The sequence below is a fragment of the Homo sapiens genome, chromosome 6 (assembly GCF_000001405.40).
Source record: "Homo sapiens chromosome 6, GRCh38.p14 Primary Assembly".
NCBI lineage: Eukaryota > Metazoa > Chordata > Mammalia > Primates > Hominidae > Homo > Homo sapiens.
In genome coordinates this window covers 124853670-124863534 of record NC_000006.12, presented here as the reverse complement: position 1 = coordinate 124863534, position 9865 = coordinate 124853670, and the positions used below count along the sequence as shown (strand labels likewise).

The 9865-nt window shown below is 37.3% G+C and overlaps 1 annotated feature.

Moving 5' to 3' along the window:
* Positions 6825 to 7025: a silencer, noted in NCBI's record as "peak6097 fragment used in MPRA reporter construct". NCBI's record gives its function as "represses an SCP1 promoter by STARR-seq MPRAs in K562 erythroleukemia cells {active_cell/tissue: K562}" and the evidence as "EXISTENCE:reporter gene assay evidence [ECO:0000049][PMID:32103011]".

Genomic DNA, 9865 nt, shown 5'->3' with positions numbered 1-9865 from the left:
CGAGATCTGATTGTTTTTTAAGGGGTTTCTGCTTTTGCTTCCTCCTCATTGTCTTCTTTTGTCTGCAGCCATGTGACATGTGCCTTTCACCTTCCACCAAGATTGTGAGGCCTCCCCAGCAACATGGAACATGGTGTTAGCAACATGGTGTTAGTTCAATACACCTCTTTCTTTTGTAAATTGCCTAGCTTTGGGTGCGTCTTTACCAACAGCATGAAAATGAACTAATACAGTAAATTGGTACCAGTAGAGTAGGGTGCTGCTGAAAAGATACCTGAAAATATGGAAGTGACTTTGGAACTGGGTAACAGGCAGAGATTGGAACAGTTTGGAGGGCTCAGAAGAAGACAGGGAAATGTGGGAAACTTTGGAACTTCCTACAGACTTGTTGAATGGCTTTGACCAAAATGCTGATAATGATATGGACAATGAAATCCAGGCTGAGGTAGTTTTAGATGGAGATGAGGATCTTGTTGGGAACTGGAGCAAAGGTGACTCTTGTTATGTTTTAACAAAGAGACTGGTGGCATTTTGCTCCTTCCATAGAGGTTTGTGAAACTTTGAACTTGAGAGAGATGATTTAGGGTATCTGGTGGAAGAAATTTCTAAGCAGCAAAGTGTTCAAGATGTGACTTGAGTGCCATTTTATAAGGGAAGTAGAGCATGAAAGTTCAGAAAATTTGCAGCCTGACAATGGGATAGAAAAGAAAATCCAATTTTCTGAGGAAAAATTCAAGCCAGCTGCAGAAATTTGTATAAGTAACATGAAGCTGAATGATAATTCCCAAGACAATGGGGAAAATATCTCCAGGGCATGTCAGAGGTGTTCGCAGCAGCCCCTGCCATCACAGACCCAGAGGCCCAGGAGGGAAAAGTGGTTTCCTGGGCCAGGCCTAGGGACTTTGTGCCCAGCATCCCAGCTTCTCCAGCTGTGGCTGAAAGGGGCCAACATAGAGCTCAAGCTGTGGCTTCAGAGGGTGTAAGCCCCAAGCCTTGGCAGCTTCCATGTGGTGTTGAGCCTGCAAGTGCACAGAAGTCAAGGATTGGGGTTTGGGAACCTCTGCCTAGATTTCAGGAGATGTATGGAAACACCTGGATGCCCAGGCAGAAGTTTGCCTGTACCCCCATCGTATCTAGGAAGTAACTAACTTGCTTTTGATTTTACAGGCTCATAGGTGGAACGGACTTGCCTTGTCTTGGATGAGACTTTGAACTGTGGACTTTTGAGTTAATGCTGAAATGAGTTAAGACTTTGGGTGACTCTTGGGAAGGCATGATTGTTTTTGAAATATGAGGACATGAGATTTGGGAGGGACCGGGGCGGAATGATATGGTTTGGCTCTGTGTCCCCACCCAAATCTCATCTTGAATTGTACTCCCACGTGTTGTGGGAGGGACCTGGTGGGAGATAAATGAATCATGGGGCAGTTTTCCCCATACTATTCTCTTGGTAGTAAATAAGTCTCATGAGATCTGATGGTTTTTTAAAGGATTTCTGCTTTTGCTTCCTCCTCATTCTCTTCTCTTGTCTGCCGCCATGTGAAATGTGCCTCTCACCTTCTGCCATGATTGTGAGGCCTCTCCAGCAATGTGGAACTGTGAGTCCAATAAACCTCTCTCTTTTGTAAACTTCCCAGTCTTGGGTATGTCTGTATCAGCAGCATGAAAATGGACATTTTGATTTTGGATTTTATCTGACTTAAAGAATAGACAGAAACCAGAGAGAAAAAAGAGAGATCCAACATACTTGAGAATTTAAAGTCAAATAATCACACAAATAAACATAAAATGTTTCTGTGAAAGAGGTCTGTGGAGCTCTGGAAGAGGATTCTGTCCTAGCTAGAGGAAGCTCCCTTTAGGATGGGGACTTTGAGTGAGATCTCTTTCTGTTATTTACTGTTTGGTAACAAATTGGCCCAAGTCAGTGGCAGAAAACAAAATTTATGTTCATAAATTCTGTGGATCAGGAATTTGTTCAGGACATAGAATTTTTGTCTCTGCTTCATGATATCTGAGTCTCAAATGGAAGATTTAAAGACCTGGTTGGAGGGTGCAGGGAAAGGGGATTCTATAGCTGGGAGCTGGAGTCATCTGAGAGCTTAGTCATTCGCCTGGCTATTGGCAAGGACCTTAGCAGGGGGATCTTGACCAGAGCACATATGGGGCCTCTCCATGAGGCCTGGACTTTCTCATTGCTGGGTTCCAGGTATGAGAATTCTGAGAGAGAAAGAGGCAGACAGAAGTTGTATCATGGTGTTGCTTCTACTGTTTTGTTCTGAAGGTAGTTACAAAGTTATGGCCAGCTTGAAGGAGAAGAGAAAATCGAATCCACCTCTTTATGGGAGTGAGTCAAGGTTCTGGGGAAGCTCTTATGGAACAAAAGTGTTGTTGTGGCCATTTTTGTGAAAGACAAACCACTCATTCTAAGGAATGAGTAGAAATCAACTGAGCCAAGAAGGAGGGACTGAGAAGGGACAAGGAGGAAGGGCATTCTCATAGAAGGAAAGTGGACTGCAGGCTCTCTGTGAGGAGAGTGAGGGGCTGTATGCCTTGAAAACAGAGAACCAGCATAGAAGGCAAGATAGTGATTGTGAGGTCGACAGGGCCAGGCCATGTAGGGCCTTGGAGACAGTGTTAAGAATTTTGCCTTTATTATAAAAGAACTGGGAAGCCTTGAAGCACTTTAGGTGGAAGTGACTGTGTGTATGTGTGTGGGATGTGGTGGTGAATGTGGGGATAACCTGATTCGCATTTTAAAGGTATCAGTTTGATGACAGTGGAGTGTAGACTGGGGGCAGATGATGATGGATGTCATGTTAACAGGTGAGTGTGATGGGCCTTTTCCTAACTTAGACCTGAGAAGTGATGAGAGAGATGGAGATAAATAGGGTACCTTGAACATGGTCAGAACATAAAACTGTCAGAAATTGGTAACCTAGAACCTGGAAGCACTGGTTTTGGGGTAAGATCAAGCGTGGATTTCAGTTTTAGGTACCTTTCAAACATCCAAATGCGAACATCAGTTTGTGATGTCAGGAGATCAACAATATTTCTTTAGGCAATATCAAATACATTTTTTTTTTAGTTCAATACCACCTTAAGAAAACTGGAAGCTCTAGACTTCCTTAAATTCCTCTCTATCATATCAAGAGTTTCTTACTTAATCTTTTCTTCATCCAATAAGTATATAGTGGCACCATATGTACCAGTTACTGTTCTAAGTGAAGGACACTGTTGAAAAGATATCAATGTTTCTGTCCACATGGATCTTACATTCTAGTGGTGGAGACAGTCAATTCTCATACAAATAAATGATAATTGTAAGTGCTATGAAGAGAAAAGGAAAGGCAGGTGTGGTACTAAGAGTGATGGGTGGCAGCCATTTTAGATGGCATGGTCATGGAAGACATCTTTTAGATGTTTGATTAGAAGACTTGATTGAAGTGAGAGTATCAACAAGCAAATATCTGAAGAAAGAATGTTTGAGGCAAAGGGACAGCAATCGTAAGAATCTGAAGTGAGAGTGTTCTTGAGGTATTTGAGAAAGATCAAGGGAGTCAGTATGACTGGAGAGAATGTGGTAGTAAATGAGGCCTGATATACATATGCTGGAGCTAGCTCACAGTAAGTCCTTTAAGTCTTAGTAAAGGAGGTTCATTTTATGTTGGGGGTAATAGAGAGCTACCAAAGAGTTTTGTGGAGGAGAGTGACATGATCCAAGTTATATTTTAAGTGGATTCTTCTGGCTGCTATGTGAAGAACTATTATATATATTATTATAATAGATGGGGCCAAGAGTGGAAGCCGGAAATATAATATATTTAATTATATCATATATATTAATATTTAATAATTATATATTTAATATATATTTAACAATTATTAAATATTAAACTTTAAACTGTACCCCTTCCAATCTGACCATTCTCAGCATCTCTGCCTCCATCACACTGAACCAAGGCACTAGTTTTTACCTTTCCTGTGTCACCACAGCAGTCTCCTAACTAGCTTTCCTGCTTCTACTCTTGGCCCCATGTATTATAATAATAGATATATAGTAGAAAATTGGCCCTCATCTATTGGCTATTGTTATTATATTAAATATATTATACATTTAATATATTATGATTATATATAAATTAAAAATATATCATTTAATGTATATTAAATATGATATATTCAATTATATTATATCTAATATATTTAATTCTAGATAATTGGATAATAGATAATCATAATATATTAAGTATGTTATAGATAATTATAATATATTAAACATATATAATTATAATAATTGATAGCCAATAGATGGGGCCAATTATCTACTATATATCTATTATTATAATACATGGGGCCAAGAGTAGAAGCAGGAAAGCTAGTTAGGAGACTACTGTGGTGACACAGGAAAGGTAAAAACTAGTGCCTTGGGTCAGTGTGATGGAGGCAGAGATGCTGAGAACGGTCAGATTGGAAGGGGTACGGCTTAAAGTGGAACCTGCAGAGAAGGCTCTCTCTCCAGGTCATAATGTGACTTTGTTGTTTCCAGCTCTCCCAGCCAGGGTCACTGTCCCATTGGGCTGGTCTGATTTGTTCCTCAGGCCATTTTGGCTCATCTCCTCTTGCTCACTTGGTCCATAAAATGTCACCTGAGCTAGTGTAGGCAAGAGAACATCGAGAATCTGTGTGGTATGATTAGCATTAAGCTCTCGTAAGTGGCTTAATGATTTTCACCATTGTGGGACTCTTAGAAATTCAAAAACTGAAACTGGCTTATCCAGGATTGCATAATAAAAGATTAACTGTCTCATATCTTAAGGCATTTGCTCCTTTTCTTATGACACTCTTTAAACATTTTACTCATCTTTGCTTTCCTTTGTGCTTTATTCTGAAAAAATTGTCCTTTAAATCTGTAAAATGCTTCCAGCTTTTTCGGAATCAAGAAAAGATTTTAATATTAAATGAAAGAACAAACAAATGAATTTTTAAGTAAATAAACTATTTTGACTTAGAGGGTTTGGAGTAAAGACCTACCAAAAAAAAGAAACGATTATTTATCTTACAGAGGAAAGCTTCACAAGGCATCTTAAAGCTTGTTTTTCATATATATATGAAAAGGAATGATGCACTAATATTGATTTTCTTTGAATACAGGACCTAAGAAATTGGCTTGGGTATTTAACAGAAATACCCAAGGATAAAAAATAAACACTTATTAGTTAGACAGAATTTCTGTAAAGAGAAAATTGTGAAATACTGGAAAGAATCAAATGAAGGTAGTTGTGATTGGAACTTCTTAGATGGTTAAAATAATTTGCTTTCATGTGCCTGAGACTGCTTAATTGCAATTCTATGTGGAAAAAAGGATAGAATGAATGAATTAAATAAAAATATTTTTACAATAAAATATATAATTCATATGTGGCTTTCCTATAAATTTATTTTTTGAAAAATAAAAAAATTCAGTTTAAAAATGTTCCAATGATAAAACTTTTTGTTATGTAATAAGATTATATCACATCTGAAGCAATTTGTAATGTGTTGTTTAAAGGAAAAAATAGTGAGCAAACACAATGACAGGTCAAATTTATGACTCTTTCTTGTTTGTCGTTTCTATATTCCGCTTGAGGATTAGTGTTCAAATTGAGTATAAGTAAGAATTGTCAGCCCAGATTTAACTATCCACTGTTGTAACCAGAATACATTTTAGGGTTAAAGATGAATAATTCAAGAACTATTTCTGGGAGCTTTTTTAACGTTGCAACTCTAATCAGCAGGTGGAATTTAACAGCAACTGCATTAATCAGAAACTAACAAGGTAAAAATTACTCCCTCTCTAGATACAGAAAATTTTTCTCATTTGCAGTAGCTTTTTTTTTTTTTTTTTTTTTTTTTTAAAGGGAGACCTCATTCAGAGTATTTTTATTTAGTACCTAGCAGGTAAAGCAAAGTAGTTGAGAGCCTGCCACGTGAGAGGTAAGATGTGTGCTTATGGATCAAAGATGGTCTCACAGCAAAATATACTCCATTGGGCTATTAGAGAGGCTTAGCTGCATTGCTTGTCACTTCACATACACAGTTCCTCACATATACTCACACATCTCTACTGCTGCTATTGCTAGCAGTTTTAATTAGGGACTGTCTAGCCAAGCACAACTTGCCTGCCTTGCACCCCCTGTTCTCCTCCTCTGGGGTTGACTGGAGCTCAGTACTGCCAAACTGTTGATTGAAAACTTCTTGAATGAATGAACTTATCAAATACTTCCATGACTTCCTGGTAGTCCTGGAAATGTAGTCCTAGAAATGTAGTCCTATGATGCCTGGTACAGTGCTCCTGGCCCTTGTAAGCCTGGACTAGACTGACCAGTCTGAGTGTAATTAACATTGCCCCTGCAGAAACAGGGCAACTGAGAGGTGGTGGCTGTGTGGATGAGTCTCCTGAGGACTGAACATTGTGCATCCACCTGGGTTTAGAAGCACCAATTGTAGTGGTCAGGGTTTTCCAAAGAAACAGGGTCAATAGTATATGTATAGACATATAGAAAGATATTTATTTTGAAGAATGGGCTCACACAACTATGGAGGCTGAGGAGTCTCAGGACCTGCCATCAGTAAGCTGGAGGCCCAGGAAAGCTGGTGGTGTAATTCCAGTTCAAGCCCAAAGGCCCCAGAAACAGGAGCATCAATGTACCCCAGATGGGAGAAGATGGATGTCCCAGCTGCAGCAAAAGGCAAATTCACCCTTCTTCTGCCTTTTTGTGCTATTTGGGCACTCAGTGAATTTGATGATGCTGGCCCACATTGATGAGGGTAAATCTTCTTTAATAAATCTACTGATTCATATGGTAATCTCTTTCAGAAATACCCTCACAGACACACCCCGAAATCGTATTTTGCCAGCTGTCTGGGCATTCCTTAGCCCAGTCAAGATGACGTATAAAACGGACCATTCCATTTCATCAGTGTGAAGTGAGAGTAATCTTTGCGTGGCATTGCTGTGTTGTTACAAATGCCTATGTGAGCTGAAGGGAGTGGTTTGTTACTCTGAGTTTTAAAAAGTAAACCTAGGTTAAAAACATATAAAAACATTATGATATTTTTGGTTACTATAGCCTTGTAGTATAGTTTGAAGTCAGGTAGCGTGATGCCTCCAGCTTTGTTCTTTTGGCTTAGGATTGACTTGGCGATGCAGGCTCTTTTTTGGTTCCATATGAACTTTAAAGTAGTTTTTTCCAAATCCGTGAAGAAAGTCATTGGTAGCTTGATGGGGATGCATTGAATCTATAAATTACCGTGGGCAGTATGGCCATTTTCACCATATTGATTCTTTCTATCCATGAGCATGGAATGTTCTTCCATTTCTTTGTATCCTCTTTAATTTCATTGAGCAGTGGTTTGTAGTTCTCCTTGAAGAGGTCCTTCATGTCCCTTGTAAGGTGGATTCCTAGGTATTTTATTCTCTTTGAAGCAATTGTGAATGGGAGTTCACTCATGATTTGGCTCTCTGTTTGTCTGTTATTGGTGTATAAGAATGCTTGTGATTTTTGCACATTGATTTTGTATCCTGAGACTTTGCTGAAGTTGCTTATCAGCTTAAGGAGATTTTGGGCTGAGACAATGGGGTTTTCTAGATATACAATCATGTCGTCTGCAAACAGGGACAATTTGACTTCCTCTTTTCCTAATTGAATACCATTTATTTCCTTCTCCTGCCTAATTGCCCTGGCCAGAACTTCCAACACTGTGTTGAATAGGAGTGGTGAGAGAGGGCATCCCTGTCTTGTGCCAGCTTTCAAAGGGAATGCTTCCAGTTTTTGCCCAATCAGTATGATATTGGCTGTGGGTTTGTCATAGATAGCTCTTATTATTTTGAGATACATCCCATCAATACCTAATTTATTGAGAGTTTTTAGCATGAAGGGTTGTTGAATTTTGTCAAAGGCCTTTTCTGCATCTATTGAGATAATCATGTGGTTTTTGTCTTTGGTTCTGTTTATATGCTGGATTACATTTATTGATTTGCGTATATTGAACCAGCCTTGTATCCCAGGGATGAAGCCCACTTGATCGTGGTGGATAAGCTTTTTGATGTGCTGCTAGATTTGGTTTGCCAGTATTTTATTGAGGATTTTTGCATCAACATTCATCAAGGATATTGGTCTAAAATTCTCTTTTTTGGTTGTGTCTCATCTTATGATATTTGCAGTATGCATTTGGTTTTTGAATTTGTAATTTGTTTTGACTTTGTTTCTCAGTCTAAAACCTCAGAATAGAAGAGCAATATGAGTTTAATGATATCTAAATCAGCTGTTTTATATTGTCAGTGAATTAATAGTAAAAGGAGGATAAAGAAAACAAGTCTGTTGCCTATTTCTCATGTTGAATTTGCAGAAGTTTTTAAATTTCTAGTTTTAGGTTTTGCACATAACAATAAAAAATGGTTAGATAAGCTTTTGTTTGTTAATGTAATATTGTTTTTATAGGATACAAATAGTAAAATCAAGGAAGCTATGTTATTTTGATAAAATTGAGATACTTAAATATCTGGATTTGGTGACAGCAACAGTAAACTGACTGATTTGTTAAATAAAACCTTTTGCCTTTAGTAGAGCTATAAAGTTAGTCATAATGGTTTAAAAAGATATCACTTACACAGCTTAAATTCATCTTGATTTAACCAAAAATATTCTTCTTGACCTAAGACTCTATTGAAAATATCTATCGGATTAGACATTTCAATGAGAACTAGTCTCTCTGTCTTATAGTAGCTTGAAGTCCTGACTTGTCTTTTTTCAGCATAGTGACAGAATTAATTCCTTTTATTGCATAAGAATTTAATTAATTTCTAAAAGCTCTGTGGGCTTAAAATTATTTTGTTGTCAATTTTTAATATAAAATCTTAGATGGTATCACTGAGATGTAGAATCAAAGAATGTATGTTGATAAAAATTAAAACTAAATTGTTTACTTATTTTGCCTATAGTCTTTGAGAAATTCATATATACTCTTTTAAACACTAGATGGCACTAGAAATGTATCATAATAAATTGTTTCATCAGGAGGAATTATTAATTTTATGACCTCCTAAGATGGTGTGTTCTTTGGTTATATATTTTTGAACATTTAAAATAATTTAACTATTTCCACTAGTACCTTTAATTACTGAAATAAGTAATGAGGTTTCCAAACTGTAGAAATACATAATTCATAATTAAAATTTTTCAAAGTATTATTTTAGTGGTCCATAGATATTGCCACACCTCAGGTTTCCTCATCTTATGAGATTGCTTCCCTTTAAGTTCATCAAAAAGAAGACACATGCTCTACAAATAGAAATAATGAGTAGGTTCCTGAATTGTTTACTAACCTGATTACCCATGAGGCATGAATCATCTGAACACACTGGAAAAAGATTTAAATTCTTGACACATATTACTTCCTTCAAGAAAGATAGCATAAAACGAATGATATGCCACTATATGAGGACATTAATGACAAATTTTTCATCAATTTAAGAAATATTTACAATTAGTCACTGAGTAAGATAATTGGAAATGCCCTGAAATCTCGCAATATAAACACTTTCCCAAATTTGACAGTATTCCTAAAAATTTACCATCATCAACAATGTTTTGTGAAGCCGAAAGACACTTTTATATACTATCATTAAAACATGTTGGTCAGCTGTGCTAGAGGAAAGGCGGCTGAGTTATAGTCTTTGTCATGTGGCAATATGATCGAAGAGTGTAGCCAGTCAATGGGGTATTTCAGATAGTAACATAATCCAAGCGTTAAGATCGATTCTGGATCTTGTGATTTTTGTAGCGTTTGTCTACTTTTAAAACTTTTTGATTTGTTGTAACTTCTT